General features: G+C 49.5%; 1 protein-coding gene across 3 annotated transcripts, besides 3 other annotated features; it reads left to right on the top strand.

Annotated features, from left to right (window-relative positions):
* The first annotated feature begins 1,204 nt into the window (after nt 1-1,204).
* Nucleotides 1,205-16,359, top strand: C5AR2 (complement C5a receptor 2). 3 transcript variants are annotated; one of them, NM_001271749.2, is made up of 2 exons: nt 1,205-1,379; nt 9,815-16,359. In NM_001271749.2, the coding sequence occupies exon 2, from the start codon at nt 9,830-9,832 to the stop codon at nt 10,841-10,843; it is 1,014 nt and encodes a 337-aa protein (NP_001258678.1). In that variant the 5' UTR covers nt 1,205-1,379; nt 9,815-9,829; the 3' UTR covers nt 10,844-16,359. The 3 variants fall into 3 exon arrangements, with proteins under 3 accessions (NP_001258678.1, NP_060955.1, NP_001258679.1); NM_018485.3 differs by lacking the exon at nt 1,205-1,379 and adding an exon at nt 6,125-6,199; NM_001271750.2 differs by lacking the exon at nt 1,205-1,379 and adding an exon at nt 9,517-9,642.
* Nucleotides 3,822-4,116: a silencer, noted in NCBI's record as "tiled region #4678; HepG2 Repressive non-DNase unmatched - State 22:ReprW". NCBI's record gives its function as "represses a minimal TATA promoter and a strong SV40 promoter by Sharpr-MPRA in HepG2 cells {active_cell/tissue: HepG2}" and the evidence as "EXISTENCE:reporter gene assay evidence [ECO:0000049][PMID:27701403]".
* Nucleotides 3,822-4,128: a biological region, named in NCBI's record as "Sharpr-MPRA regulatory region 4678".
* Nucleotides 3,928-4,128: a silencer, noted in NCBI's record as "peak3533 fragment used in MPRA reporter construct". NCBI's record gives its function as "represses an SCP1 promoter by STARR-seq MPRAs in K562 erythroleukemia cells {active_cell/tissue: K562}" and the evidence as "EXISTENCE:reporter gene assay evidence [ECO:0000049][PMID:32103011]".
* Nucleotides 16,360-16,372: the final 13 nt, after the last annotated feature.

Consider the following 16,372-nt stretch of genomic DNA (forward strand, 5'->3'; position numbering starts at 1 on the left):
AATGATTCTCCTGCCTCGGCCTCCCGAGTAGCTGGGATTACAGGCACGCACCACCACGCCCAGCTAATTTTTGTATTTTTAGTAGAGATGGTGTTCTGCCATGTTGGCCAGGCTGGTCTTGAACACTTGACTTCAAGTGATCCACCTGCCTCGGCCTCCCAAAGTGCTGGGATTACAGATGTGAGCTACCGCGCCCAGCCAGTTCTGTGCGTTTTAAATGTATCCAACGCTCATAGCAAACATCCACTGCACAGATGAGGAAGTTGAGGTTCAGAGGGGCTGAGGCCCTGAACTTTGATGAGGGTGTGTCGACCTGGAATATGAATCTCATCATTCTGGCCCTTGAGTTCTTGTTCTCAGCCACTGTGATATGCTGGAAGAGGTTAAGAATTGCTATCACGGCTGTGGCTCACTTCTGTAATCCCAGCCCTTTGGGAGGTCGAGGTGTGAGGATGGCTTGAGGCTGGGCAACACAGCAAGGCCGCACCTCTACAGAAAATTTTAAAAAATTAGCCAGGTATGTTGGTGCATGCCTGTAGTCCTAGCTACTCAGGAGGCTGAGGTGGGAGGATCACTTGAGCCTAGGAGTTTGAGGCTGCAGTGAGGCATAATGTTTTCACTGCACGCCAGTCTGAGCGACAGAGCAAGACTCCATCTCTAAAAAAAGTAAAGCATCGCTATGGCCAACAACATCTTCCCATTCTACAGATGGAAAATTGAGGCCCAAGAAAGGAGTTGTTTGTGCTTTTTCTACCACTGAGGCGTTGGGCCCTGCGCTCAGCTGCTGTGGTCTTTTTGTGGAGAATGTGACCCCAGGCTGTCTTCCTCAGAGCCGAGGAGGAGGGAGGGATGTTTGTCTGTCCTGAGGCTGCAGAAGGGAGGGGTTGAACACAGTTAGAGGCCTGGAGGTGGCTGGGGGCAGCTGGCATGTTGTGGGCAAACAGAATCCAGGCCAAGACCTCTAAGGCGTTAAAGAGCAAACCGCATGCAGGTCTGGCTTCCAGGAAGGTGGGACTTCGAGACTAGGGTTGGGGACTTGGGATCAGCCCTCCACCCAACCGAGCCCTCTCCTGCCCTGCCAGCCACCCCGTAATTTTGGGTTCTGTGAGTCACGGGAAGAAGACAGGACAAACACACCCTGAGAGCGAGACAAGGCCACTCCTATTTTGTACTGCTTATAAAGATTCACTGGGACTGGTGAGGTGGCAGTGCTCAGCAGCATCCGACAGGAGCCCTGGCAAACAGGACGGATTTCCAGGACTCTACCAGCTGCCAGACACGGCAGGGAGAGACCCCAGACCTCCTGGGTCCTGGCTGTGGGCCCGGATTGGGCTCCCAAGTGGCGTTTGACTCACGTGGGGACACTCTTGGAAGAGACGGTAAGGATGGAGGCTACAAGGGCGGGAAGGAGGGAGAGAGAGATTGCATGATCTTGGCTTCTCGGAATCATTACTTTCAGAATCTGGGAAGCAGAACTAGAGTTTGAGAAGTGCAGTCTTATTACAGCCACACTGGAACGCACGTCACAGTCCTGGGCTCTTGAATTAACTTGGGCAGCCCAGCAGCAAAGCTCTTGTCAAAGGATCTAAGCATTTTTTTTCTTTCTCTTTTTGGAGACAGGTTTTCATTCTTGTTGCCCAGGCTGGAGTGCAATGGTGCCATCTTGGCTCACCGCAACCTCCACCTCCCAGGTTCAAGGGATTCTCTTGTCTCAGCTGGGATTACAAGCGCATGCCACCATGCCTGGCTAATTTTGTATTTTTAGTAGAGATGGGGTTTCTCCATGTTGGTCAGGCTGGTCTCGAACTCCCGACCTCAGGTGATCTGTCCGCCTTGGCCTCCCAAAGTGCTGGGATTACAGGCGTGAGCCACTGTGCCCTGCCCAAATGGTTTTTCACACACAGATGTATGGGAAACAGCCTCTCTCAAACCTGCAGGAATTCCTGCAGCTTTCGGCAGATCCACCAAACTGTAGCATGTGTAGCAAGCAAGCCCTTTAACTCAGCGATTCCAATTCTTTTCTCTTTCTTTCCTTTTCTCTCTTTCTTTCTTTTGACAGGGTCTCACTCTGTCTCCCAGGCTGGAGTGCAGTGGTGCGATCTTGGCTCACTGCAACCTCCGCCTCCCAGGTTCAAGTGATTCTCCTGCCCCAGCCTGCTGAGTAGCTGGGATTACAGGTGCACGCCACCACACCTAGCTAATTTTTGTATTTTTAGTAGAGATGGGGTTTCACCATGTTGGCCAGGCTGGTCTCCAACTTTTGACCTCAGGTGATCCACCTACCTTGGCCTCCCAAAGTGCTGGGATTACAGGCGTGAATCACCGTGCCTGGCCCCCTCAATGTTCTATCACAAAATCTGTCCACATTCTTGTGTGGTGTTTGTTCATTCTCATCGTGTAGAATATTCCACAGGGTGAACACCCCATGATGTGTTTATCCATTCTGCTGTGGGTGGCTATTTGGACGGTTTCTCATCTTGGGCTGCTGTGAACATTCTGGCACATGTATTCTGGTGAGCATATGTGTTCTTTTGCGGAAAGGAGGCTGATTGCTGGGTCGTGAGGGAGGAATCCTAGAAGATGGATGTTCAGGAATAAAGAATGTTCAGACTCCTTTTTTTTTTTTTTTTTTTTGAGATGGAGTCTTGCTCAGGCTGGAGTGCAGTGGTGCGATCTCGGCTCACTGCAACCTCCGCCTCCTGGGTTCACGCCATTCTCCTGCCTCAGCCTCCTGAGTAGCTGGGACTACAGGCGCCCGCCACCGCGCCCAGCTAATTTTTTGTATTTTTTAGTAGAGATGGGGTTTCACCATGTTAGCCAGGATGGTCTCGATCTCCTGACCTCGTGATCCACCTGCCTGGGCCTCCCAAAGTGCCGGGGATTACAGGTGTGAGCCACTGCGCCCGGCCAGCCTTCTTTGATTCTGCTCCAGGGTTTTCCAGAGCAGAGAACCCAGCAAGACTGGATGCACAGACAGGCGTGCACCAAGAGGCACATGTGAGGGTGCTTGCAATCACAACAAAAGAAACCTAAGTGACCACTTAGTCTCTCTGTGCCTCAGTTTACTCTTTTATCCTTTCACTTACCAAATATCGACCATGCCTGTGCTGTGTGCCAGGTTCTGTCCCAGATGCCAGGGACACAGCGGCACCCGAGGCTGGAAGGAGCTGATGTTGTGGGATATGAGGATGATAATATTGACCTCAAGGGTTTGTGTTGAGGGTTATATCTTGTAGGTCATAGGTGCTCAATAAAAGCCATCTATTATTTTAATTATTATGAAATAATAAGAAGGGTACCTATGATTTAAAAGCTAGATATAAGTACAGACGCTCTTTGACTTACAATGGGGTCCCATCTCTATCAACCCATCGTAAGGCTGGGCACAGTGGCTCACGCCTGTAATGGCAGCACTTTTGGGAGGCTGAGGTGGGAGGATTTCTTGAGCCCAGGAGTTTGAGATCAGCCTGGGCAACAGAGTAAGGGCTGTCCATACAGAAAAAAAAAAAAAAATTAGCTGGGCATGATGGCGTGCACCCGTAGTCCCAGCTACTCCAGAGGCTGAGGCAGGAGGATCAGTTGAGCCTAGGAGGTAGAGGCTGTGGTGAGCCGAGGTTGAACCACTGAACTCAGCTTGGGTGACTGAACAAGACGAAAACACAAAACAAAAGCCCCCAACATTTTCAACATAAGTTGAAAATATTGTAAATCAAATTGGATTTAATACACCTAGCTTACTGAACATCATAGCCTACTTTTTTTTTTTGAGACAGGGTCTCACTCTGTTGTCCAGGCTGGAGTGCAGTGGCGCGATCTTGGCTCACTGCAGCCTTGACCTCACGGGCGTAGCCTACCTCAAATGTGTTCAGAACATTTACATTACCCAACAGCAAGACAAAATCATCTAAGCCAAATCCAATTTTTTTTTTTTTGAGATGGAGTCTCACTCTGTCACCCATGCTGGAGTGCAGTGGTGTGATCTCAGCTGACTGCAACCTCCACCTCCCAGCTTCAAGGGATTCTCCTGCCTCGGCCTTCTGAGTAGCTGAGATTACAGGCACTCGCCCCCACGCCCAGCTAATTTTTTTTTTTTTTTAAATCTTTAGCAGAGATGAGATTTTATCATGTTGGCCAGGCTGGTCTCAAACTCCTGACCTCAAGTGATCCGTCTGCCTAGGACTCCCAAAGCGTTGGGATTACAGGTGTGAGCTTCTGCACCTGGCCCTGTTTCTCATTATTCTCCTTACCATTGTTATTGAATGGCCTTTAGTTAATAAGCACCACTTGGGCAGACAGTGGACTGTTTTTGATGCTTTGAGGACGAATGGGGTTGATATCTGTACAGATAGACAGGAAAACAGATATCGGGCACGTTAAGTGGAAAAGATGAAGAAATGGAACAACGTATGTTGAAAGCTCCCATTTCTGGTTAAGACGTTACAAAGGAAATGCCATCTACGATACCATTGCTTTGGGCTTACAGCTGGGCAAATTATATGCACAGAAAGTTTCCTGGATTGGGCTGGGCATGTTGACTCACGCCTGTAATCCCAGCACTTTGGGAGGCCGAGGTGGGCGGATCATGAGGTCAGGAGATTGAGACCATCCTGGCTAACACGGTGAAACCCTGTCTCTACTAAAAATACAAAAAATTAGCCGGAAGTGGTAGCGGGCGCCTGTAGTCCCAGCTACTCGGGAGACTGAGGCAGGAGAATCATGCGAACCCGGGAGGTGGAGCTTGCAGTGAGCCGAGATCGCACCACTGCACTCCAGCCTGGGCGACAGAGTGATACTCCGTCTCAAAAAAAAAAAAAAAAAAAAAAAAAAAAAAAGAAAGTTTTCGTTTTCTGGATTGTAATCAACAAGGGCCAGGAAGGGTGGAGTCTTTGCGGGGTGAGAGGATGCGTGTGGACAGTGATAACAGCAGCTAGCCTACGTATGACACCCACTGAAAACCAGCGCTATACACTCAGCTCTACCCTTCTAACTTGTTGAATTCTTACAACACCCCCTAAGGCAGGAATATTATTATTCCCATTTTACTGAGGCACAGATAGTTTAGGTGACTTGCCCAAGGCCACACAGCTGGTAGGAATTTGAGGGTTTTTGTTGTTGTTGTTTGTTTGTTTGTTTTTTATGATGCAGTCTCGCTGTTGTCGCCCAGGCTGGAGTGCAGTGGCATGATCTTGGCTCACTGCAACCTCTGCCTCCCGGGTTCCAGCGATTCTCTTGCCTCAGTCTCCCGAGTAGCTGGAATTACAGGAGCCCACAACCATGCCTGGCTGATTTTTGTATTTTTAGTAGAGACCAGGTTTCACCATGTTGCTCAGGCTGGTCTTGAACTCCTGGCCTCAAGTGATCCGCCCACCTCGGCCTCCCAAAGTGCTGGGATTACAGGTGTGAGCCACTGTGCCCGGCTAGGGGGGGTTCAGTTTTTAAATGCTGTACTCTTTCTTTCTTTCTTTCCTTCCTTCCTTCCTTCCTTCCTTCCTTCCTTCCTTCCTTCCTTCCTTCCTTCCTTTCTTTCTTTCTTTCTTTCTTTTTCTTTCTTTCTTGGGACAGGGTCTCACTCTGTTGCTCAGGCTGGAGTGCAGTGGCGCGATCATGGCTAACTGCAGCCTCAAACTCCTGGGCTCATGTGATCTTCCACCCCAGTCTTAGAAAAGGTTGGGATTGCAGGCACGAACCACTATGCCTGGCTAATTTTTAAATTTTTTGTAGAGACAGAGGGTCTCACTGTGTTGCCTAGGCTGGTCTTGAACTCTTGGCCTCAAGCGATCCTTCCTCCTCAACTCAGCCTCCCAATGTACTGGGATTACAGGTGTGAGCCACTGCACCTGGCTAAATTCTGCACACCTTTTACTCTAGGGATAAAAATAATACGAAAGTGGAATGCCAGACTCCGAATACACACACCAAGTGGCCTGGACTCTTCACTGCTACCTGGCATGGGGGAGGGGAGTGCCCCAACTTCCTCTCTGTCCTTCCTGTTGCCTCAACACCAGCTGGAGTGCTGAGCAGTGCCAGCCAACCCATAATAGTCAGCAGAGAGCCTCAGGGCCAGGTCACTCTGACATTGTGGGGGTGGGGGGGTGGGGACTCCTGCCTGGGTCCTGTGCTACCCACAGCTTTGTCTACCGGAGCCTGTGTGCCACGTGCTGGACAAATCTTAACTCCTCAAGGACTCCCAAAACCAGAGGTAGGTTCACCTCAATGACTCTTGTTTCCCCGATGAGGAAATAGGCACAGCCAGCTGCAACTGACACCCACAGTCATGGAGGCCGGGGCTGCTCAGGACCACTTGCTGTGCTGCCTGCCAGCTCTCCAGAGCCCAAGATTTGGAGATGGTAATATTCTAGGGCATGGGGTTCTGCAGCGGGGACTAACACACTTTGAAATTTACCTACTTAGGGCTGGGCGCGGTGGCTCATGCCTGCAATCCCAGCACTTTGGGAGGCTGAGGTGGGCGGATCACAAGGTCAGGAGTTCGAGACCAGCCTGGCCAATATGATGAAACCCCGTATCTACTAAAAATACACAAATTAGTTGGGCATGGTGGCGGGTGCCTGTAGTCCCAGCTACTCAGGAGGCTGAGGCGGGAGAATTGCTTGAACCCTGGAGGCGGAGGTTGCAGTGAGCCGAGATTGCGTCACTGCACTCCAGCCTGGATGACAGAGCGAGACTCTGTCTCAAAAAAAAAAATTTTACCTACTTAGCTGAGTGATCTTAGGTAAATTACTTAACTTCTCTGTGCCTTATCTGTAGAATAAATATAACAATAGTGTCAAATTCAGACAGTTATTATAAGGTTTCAGTGAGGTCAGGCACGGTGGCTCATGCCTGTAATCCTAGCACTTTGGGAGGCCGTGGCAGGCAGACCACTTGAGGTCAGGAATTCCAAACCAGCCTGACCAACATGGTGAAACCCCGTCTCTACTAAAAATACAAAAAATTAGCCCCGGGCATGGTGGTGCACGCCTGTAATCCCAGCTACTCGGGAGGCTTGTGGCAGGAGTAATGCTTGAACCCAGGAAGCAGAGGTTGCAGTGAGCCAAAATAGCGCCACTGCACTCCAGCCTGGGTAGCAGAGTGAGACTCCGTCTCAAAAAAAAAAATAAATAAAATAAAATAAAACAAGGTTTCAGTGATACAGTGTTTAAAGCTGCGTGGTGGCCACTGCCTGTAGTCCCAGCTACTCAGGGGGCAGAGGTGGGAGGATCACTTGAGCACAGAGTTTGAGGCTGCAGTGAGCCGTGATTGCACCACTGCACTCCAGCGTTGGCAAGATGGCGAGACCCTGTCTCTAAAAAAAATATATATATATAAATTTGCCAGGTGTGGTGGTGCACACCTGTAGTCCCACGTACTCAGGAGGCTGAGGTGGGAGGACCACTTGAGCCCAGGAGTTCGAGGCTGCAGTGAGCCAAGATAGTGCCATTGCATTCCAGCCTGAGTGACAGAGCAATATCTGTCCCTAAAAAAAAAAAAAAAGTTGACACAAAACACAAAATGTTCAAGAAACAGTGGCTTCCAATAATAATAATTTTATTATTATTATTATTGTCAGGCACAGTGGCAATCATGCCTGTAATCCCAGCAGTTTGAGAGGCTGAGACAAGGCAGGTTGCTTAAGCCCCAGAATTCAAGACCAGCATGGGCAACATGGTGAAACCAGATGACCTCCAAAATAATAATAATAATAATAATAATAATAATAATTAATCAGGCATGATGGTGTGCACCTGTAGTCCTAGCTACTTGGGAGGGTGAGGTGGAGGGTTGCTTGAGCCCAGGAGATGGAGGCTGCAGTGAGCTGGGAAAGTGCCGCTGCAGTCCAGTCTGGGCTACAGAGCCAGACCCTGTCTCAAAAAATAGTAATAATATAGTAATAATATTATTGTGGCCCGACATGGTGGCTCACGCCTGTAATCCCAGCACTTTGGGAGGCTGAGGCAGGTGGATCACCTGAGGTCAGGAGTTCGACACCAGCCTGGCTAACATGGTGAAACCCCATCTCTACTAAAAATACAAAAATTAGCCAGGTGTGGTGGCATGTACCTGTAATCTCAGCTACTTGGGAGGCTGAGGCAGGAGAATTGCTTGAACCCAGGAGGCGGAGGTTGCAGTGAGCCGAGATCATGCCACCACACTCCAGCCTGGGCAACAGAGCAAAACTCTGTCTCAAAAAAAATAAATTATTGCTATGATAGATTATGTCGCTTCCTTGCTCAGCACCCTCCTATAGCACCTGTCTCATTTGGAATAAATGATGATGTCCTTGCGTTGCCCACGTGGCCCTACATGCCGTGGCCCCTGATAACTGTTTTTCATTTGTTTTGTTTTGTTTTGTTTTTTTCTTTTTTTGAGATGGAGTCTTGCTCTGTTGCCCAGGCTGGAGTGCACTGGCATGATCTCAGCTCACAGCAACCTCCGCCTCCCTGGTTCAAGTGATCCCTCCTGCCTCAGCCTCCTGAGTAGCTGGGATTACAGGCGTCCACCATCACTCCAGGTTATTTTTGTGTTTTTAGGAGAGATGGGGTTTCACCATGTTGGCCAGGCTGGTCTCAAACTCCTGACCTCAGGTGATCCACCCACCTTGGCCTCCCAAATTCCCGTGATTACTGGCATGAGCCACTGTGCCCGGCCCCTGATGACTCTGCTATTGCCTCTCACCCTCTCCCTCTGGCAGATTCCACTCCAGCCACACTGGGCTCCTTGCTGTTCTTGGACATGACCGTCATGTTCCCACCTCAGGGCCTTTGCACTGGCTGTTCTCGATGCCTGAAACACTCTTCCCCCAGATCTCGATGCATCTCTCCCACTGTTCCTTCAGATTTTTATGCAAATGTCACCTTCTCAAGAAGCCTTCCCTGACCATGCCTGTACAACTCCAACATAGCCAGCTTCCCTGTGTGATATTTTTCCCATAGTATTTATTATCTTCTAAAATACTGTGGATTTTGGATTTTGCTCATTTCTTTCTTTCTTTTCCTATTTTTTTTTATTTTTTGAGACAGAGTCTCTCTCTGTCATCCTGGCTGGAGTGCAGGGGTATGATCAAGCTCACTCAATCTCCTGGGCTCAAATGATTCTCCCACTTCAGCCTTTTCGGCAGCTAGGATCACAGGCACGCATGACCATGCCTGGCTATGTTTTAAAAAATTTTCGTAGAGATGGGGTCTCCCTATGTTGCCCAGGCTGGTCTAGAACTCCTGACCTCAAGTGATCTTCCCACCTTGGCCTCTCAAATCGTTGGGATTACAGGCCTGAACCACCGTGCCCAGCCCCAATATTCCAATGTACTAGGGTTCTGGCATTGTAATATTCTAGAATTCCAAGATGCCACTTCTAACAACACTAAGTTCTAGAATTCCAATTTTTTTTTTTTTTTTTTGAGATGGAGTCTCACTCTGTCTCCCAGGCTGGAGTGCAGTGGTGTGAGCTCAGCTCACTGCCACCTCCACCTTCTGGGTTCAAGAAATTCTCAGCCTCCCAAGTAGCTGGGATTACAGGTGCCCGCCACCACACCCAGCTAATTTTTGTATTTTTAGTAGAGACGGTGTTTCACCATGTTGGCCTGTCTTGAATTCCTGACCTCAAGTGATCCACCTGTCTTGGCCTCCCAAAGTGTTAAGATTACAGGTGTGAGCCACCACACCCGGCCTAGAATTCCAATATTCTAAAGCACTGGAGTCCTTATGACGCAATATTCCAGTTTGCAAGGTGCTGGTGGGCCGGGCTGATGGACACCCTAGATCTCCAGGGCCATGGAGTTTCCTCCTCTGAGTTTTCATCGTCTTTCTCTCCTGCCCAGACACCAGGAGCCTGAATGGGGAACGATTCTGTCAGCTACGAGTATGGGGATTACAGCGACCTCTCGGACCGCCCTGTGGACTGCCTGGATGGCGCCTGCCTGGCCATCGACCCGCTGCGCGTGGCCCCGCTCCCACTGTATGCCGCCATCTTCCTGGTGGGGGTGCCGGGCAATGCCATGGTGGCCTGGGTGGCTGGGAAGGTGGCCCGCCGGAGGGTGGGTGCCACCTGGTTGCTCCACCTGGCCGTGGCGGATTTGCTGTGCTGTTTGTCTCTGCCCATCCTGGCAGTGCCCATTGCCCGTGGAGGCCACTGGCCGTATGGTGCAGTGGGCTGTCGGGCGCTGCCCTCCATCATCCTGCTGACCATGTATGCCAGCGTCCTGCTCCTGGCAGCTCTCAGTGCCGACCTCTGCTTCCTGGCTCTCGGGCCTGCCTGGTGGTCTACGGTTCAGCGGGCGTGCGGGGTGCAGGTGGCCTGTGGGGCAGCCTGGACACTGGCCTTGCTGCTCACCGTGCCCTCCGCCATCTACCGCCGGCTGCACCAGGAGCACTTCCCAGCCCGGCTGCAGTGTGTGGTGGACTACGGCGGCTCCTCCAGCACCGAGAATGCGGTGACTGCCATCCGGTTTCTTTTTGGCTTCCTGGGGCCCCTGGTGGCCGTGGCCAGCTGCCACAGTGCCCTCCTGTGCTGGGCAGCCCGACGCTGCCGGCCGCTGGGCACAGCCATTGTGGTGGGGTTTTTTGTCTGCTGGGCACCCTACCACCTGCTGGGGCTGGTGCTCACTGTGGCGGCCCCGAACTCCGCACTCCTGGCCAGGGCCCTGCGGGCTGAACCCCTCATCGTGGGCCTTGCCCTCGCTCACAGCTGCCTCAATCCCATGCTCTTCCTGTATTTTGGGAGGGCTCAACTCCGCCGGTCACTGCCAGCTGCCTGTCACTGGGCCCTGAGGGAGTCCCAGGGCCAGGACGAAAGTGTGGACAGCAAGAAATCCACCAGCCATGACCTGGTCTCGGAGATGGAGGTGTAGGCTGGAGAGACATTGTGGGTGTGTATCTTCTTATCTCATTTCACAAGACTGGCTTCAGGCATAGCTGGATCCAGGAGCTCAATGATGTCTTCATTTTATTCCTTCCTTCATTCAACAGATATCCATCATGCACTTGCTATGTGCAAGGCCTTTTTAGGCACTAGAGATATAGCAGTGACCAAAACAGACACAAATCCTGCCCTCAGGGAGCTGATATTCTTCTAGTGGAGGAAGACAGACTATAAACAAAGATATATAGGGCCATTTGCGGTGGCTCACGCCTGTAATTCCAGGGCTTTGGGAGGCTGAGGCAGGTAGATCACTTGAGGTCAGGACTTCAAGACCAGCCTAGCCAATATGGTGAAACCCTGTCTCTACTAAAAATACAAAAATTAGCCGGGCATGGTGGCGCATGCCTGTAGTCCCAGCTACTTGGGAGGCTGAGGCAGAAGAATCGTTTTGAACCCGGGAGGCAGAGGTGACAGTGAGCCAAGATTGAGCCCCTGCACTCCAGCCTGGGCGACAGAGCGAGACTCCGTCTCAAAAAATAAATAAATAAAAGATTCTATTTATTTATTTATTTTTTTGAGATGGAGTCTCGCTCTGTCGCCCAGGCTGGAGTGCAGTGGCACAATCTCGGCTCACTGCAAGCTCCGCCTCCTGAGTTCACGCCATTCTCCTGCCTCAGCCTCCTGAGTAGCTGGGACTACAGGCGCCCGCCACCATGCCCAGCTAATTTTTGTATTTTTAGTAGAGAAGGGGTTTCACCTTGTTAGCCAGGATGGTCTTGATCTCCTGACCTGGTGATCCACCCGCCTCAGCCTCCCAAAGTGCTGGGATTACAGGCGTGAGCCACCGCACCCGGCCAAAAGATTTTAATAGGATCCCTCTGGTTGCTGGTGGAGGTGAGAGTATGGTGTAGGGGCAGTGAAGATCCCAGAGAGGAGGCTACTGTAATGGTCCAAGCAGGAGGTGATAGCGATTTGGATCAGGGTAACAGAGCTGAGGTGGTGAGAGGCTGACAGGTCATGCATCTATTTTGAAGGAAAGGCCAAGTCCAGGCTCCTTAGCTCGGCATTCAAGGCTTCTCTCCACCACTGGACACACTTACTCTCTAGCTTCTCAGACCCTGTAGCAATCAGAATCATGACCCCCGGTGATGTCCACATCTTAATCCCCTGAACCTGTGAAGAGGTGACCTTCCATGGCAAAAGGGACTTTGCAGGTGAGATTAAGTAAAGGATCTTGAGAAGGGGTGGTTATCCTGGATTGTCTGGGTGGGCTCAATGGAGTCACGAGGGTCCTTTTAAGAGGGAGGCAGGAGGGTCAGGGTCAGTCACAGGAGGTGACAACGGAAGCAGATGTCATAGTGACGTGAGGAGGTGCCAAGAAATGCAGGCAGCTTCCAGAAGCTGAAACAGACAAGGAAACAGATTCTCTCTGAAGCTCCCAGAAGGAACACAGACCTCCTGACACTTTTAGACCTCTGATCCGCAGACCTTTAAGAAAATACATTTGTATTGTTTTAAGTCACTATGTTTGGGGTGATTTGTTATAGCAGCCGTGGGAAGCTAATACACACCCTTCGGGCTATATTCACGCTTCTGCATCTTTCCTGAAGCTGTGCCACTGGCTGGAATGTCCTTCTGATCTATGTTGTGCAGTTCAACAATCAAGAGCCATCTGTGGCTATTCAAATTCGAATCAATTGGCCAGGCCTGGTGGCTCCTGCCTATAATCTCAGCACTTTGGGAGGCCGAGGTGGGAGGATTGCATGAGCCCAGGAGTTTGAGACCAGCCTGGGCGACATAGCAAGACCCCATCTCTACAAAAAATACAAAAATTAGCCAGACGTGGTGGGGCGTGCCTGTAGTTCCAGCTACTGAGGAGGGAGTTGCTTGAATCCTTCTGCTTCAATCCTCCTTAAAGCAGGTAGATTGCTTGAGCCCGGGAAGTGGAGTTTGCAGTGAGCTTAGATCACACCGCTGCACTCCAGCCTGGATGTCAGAATGAGACTCCATCTCAAAAAAAAAAAGAAAGAAAGAATAAATTTTCATTTCAAATTTAGTTCCTCGGGCACACTGGCCATAGTTCAAGTGCTCAGTAGCCACATATGGCTGGTGACTGCCATATTCGACAGCACAGCTATAGAACATTGCCATCATAACAGAGATTTCTGTTACAAAATGCTGTTCTAGAATTTACTTTTGAACTCTACCTGCTCAGATCTTTTAAATTACATGGTAGGCCAGGCATGGTGGCTCACGCCTGTGATCCCAGCACTTTCGGAGGCCCAGTCGGGAGGATCCCTTGAGCCCAGAAGCTGGAGACCTGCCTGGGCAACAGAGCAAGACCCCATCTCTACAAAAATAAAAAAAAGAAAATTAGCCTGGTTTGGTGGCACATGCCTGTAGTGCCAGCTACTAGGGAGACTGAAGTGGGAGGATTGCTTCAGCCTGGGAGGTTGAGGCTGCAGTGAGCCGTGATCTCATCACTGCACTCTAGCCTAGGTGACGGAGCGGGACCCTGCCGCTAAATAAATAAATAAATAAATAACATAGTAGTGATACCTGTGTCTGCGGTCATTACTCCAGAACAGCACTTCACATATAGTTTCTCCTTTAAGGTCATTCTCACAACAGCCCAGGGAGATAGGGTGGCATGCTTCATTTTATAAGCTGAGGTCCTGGGAGGGGAGGTCATTTACCCAAGATCACACAGCAAGAACACCAGACAGCTGGAATTTGATCCCAGTTTTGACTCCAATGCTCTTGCTCTTCATCATCAATAATTTCCTTCAAGGCGTCCCTCAAATGTCACTTCCTCCAGGAAGCCCTCCCTGATTTATGCTCCTTCCAGAAAGAATGGGCTCTTCCTTTCTCTGAGTCTCTGGAACACAAGGTCCCAGCTAAACTGTAAATTCCCCAAGGGTAACAACTGGACTAATTTTTTTTAATTTAATTTAATTTTATTTTTTTGAGATGAAGTCTTGCTCTGTCACCCAGGCTGGATTGTAGTGGCACGATCTCGGCTGACCGCAACCTCCACCTCCCGGGTTCAAGCGATTCTTATGCCTCAGCCTCCCGAGTAGCTGGGATTACAGGCGCTGCCACCACACTTGGCTAATTTTTGTATTTTTAGTAGAGACAGGGTTTCACCATGTTGGCCAGGCTGGTCTCGAACTCCTGACCTCAGGTGATCCACCCACCTTGGCCTCCCAAAGTGCTGGGAATACAGGCATGAGCCACCGTTCCCGGCCTTATCCTTGACTTAGAATACCTAACCTCCTGGGAATGCAGCCCATAGGTCTCAGCCTTATTTCACCCAGCTCCTGTTCAAGATGGAGTCACTCTGGTTCACATGCCTCTGACATTTCCCCGCTCCCTTTTATAAGAGAACCTTTAATCCTAAGGGTTGTAGAGGGAGGAAGATACAACTTCTGTGACTTCTTCAGGCTGGACAGGGGTGACGATATACCTGCCTAACTCTTAGGATCTATTGGATTCAGGGTAGACAGGAGCTCAGTCAGAAAGCACTGGTATCACTTTTTTTTTTTTTTTTTTTTTTTGAGACGGAGTTTCACTCTTGTTGCCCAGGCTGGAGTGCAATGGCACGATCTCAGCTCACCACAGCCTCCGCCTCCCAGGTTCAAGCGATTCTCCTGCCTCAGCCTCCCCAGTAGCTGGGACTACAGGCGTGTGCCACCAAACCCAGCTAATGTTTTTTTTTTTTTATTTTTAGTAGAGACGGGGTTTCTCCATGTTGGCCAGGCTGGTCTCGAACTCCCGACCTCAGGTGATCCACCCGCCTCGGCCTCCCAAAGTGCTGGGATTACAGACATGAGCCACCACGCCCGGCCTGATATTTTATTACTTAGTATTTTACTCTGAATTATCATGCGTGAATTAAGACCAAGGCTGTCTTGTAAAATAAAATTTGTTGTGGAACAATTTATACAGCTCCTTTGAGGTAGGAGGCAGGACTCAACTCTGGAGATGGGGCTCGGCTCGAATATTGGACCAAATTGAGGACCAGCTAAAACAGGGAGGAGGCTGAAGCAACTTATTATTTTTATTTATTTTTATTTTTTGGAGAAGGAGTCTTGCTCTGTTACCCAGGCTGGAGTGCAGTGACACGATCTCGGCTCACTGCAACCTCCACCTTCCGGATTCAAGTGATTCTCCTGCCGCAGCCTCCCGAGTAGCTGGGACTACAGGCGCATGCCACCATGCCCAGCTAATATTTTTGTATTTTTTAGTAGAGATGGGGTTTCGCCATATTAGCCAGGCTGGTCTTGAACTCCTGACTCAGGTGATCTGCCCACCTCGGCCTCCCAAAGTGCTGGGATTACAGGTGTGGGCCACCACGCCTGGCCCGAAGCAACTTTCTATGACACGCCTACCAGTGTGCCATGTCAGTTTGCCATTGCCATGGCAACACACCCAGGAGTTACTGCCCCTTCCCATGGCAATGACCCCATGACCCAGAAGTTACTGCCCCTTCCCTAGATATTTCTGCATAAACTGCCCCTTAATCTACATGTAATTAAAAATAGGTATAGGCTATTTTTATACCTATATAAATAGGTATAGGCTAAAAATAGGTATAGGCTGGGCGTGGTGGCTCATGTCTGTAATCCCAGTACTTTGGGAGGCCAATGCAGGTGGATCACCTGAGGTCAGGAGATCAAGACCATCCTGGCTAACATAGTGAAACCCTGTCTCTACTAAAAATACAAAAAATTAGCCAGGCGTGTTGGCGGGAGCCTGTAGACTCAGCTACTCGGGAGGTTGAGGCAGGAGAATGGCGTGAACCCAGGAGGCGGAGCTTGCAGTGAGCCGAGATCACACCACTGCACTCCAGCCTGGGTGACAGAGCAAGACTCCGTCTAAAAAAAAAAAATAGTAAGAAAGAAGGAAAGACACAAAGACAGAAAGAAGGAAGGAAAGAAAGCAAGCTGTTTTCCCCTGCCTTGCCCCTGCTCACCTTTGAATTCTTTTCTGGGCAAAGCCAAGAACCCTCGTGGGCTAAAACCCCGCTTTGGGGCTTAAAGTTTGCAAAATCCTCCCATTAATCTATTGGGACCAGTTGCCACTTAGGAGCATTCTTTGATAACTTTTACAAAACATCTTTTGTGGTTTTTGAAATGTTTTCATTTTGTAGATCATTAGCCCTTCTTTTTTGAACTGGAATACATTTCACGGGAATTTTCAAATTTAAGTCTGTGCAATGTTACATAAAATACCTTTGATTATTAAAAGCCATCTGTTTTGCTATAACTTCCCTTTTTTGTTCTAAAGTTTGTCTATTTCTGCTATTTGTTTTTTTACCATAGAAATATTGATTTCCTTAAGTTTTCAAAGAACCAAGTTATTAATAATTTCTCTAAGAACTAGTCTCAAGCTTGCTATACAATCCTATGGTTGATAGACTGTGGCTTTCTTGTTGATTTCCATTTGTTGTTCATTTCCTCCAATTTTCCTTTTTTAAAAATTATAATTATTGTTTGGATTATTTATTTATTTATTT

Source organism: Homo sapiens, chromosome 19 (genome assembly GCF_000001405.40).
Source record: "Homo sapiens chromosome 19, GRCh38.p14 Primary Assembly".
Classification (NCBI taxonomy): domain Eukaryota; kingdom Metazoa; phylum Chordata; class Mammalia; order Primates; family Hominidae; genus Homo; species Homo sapiens.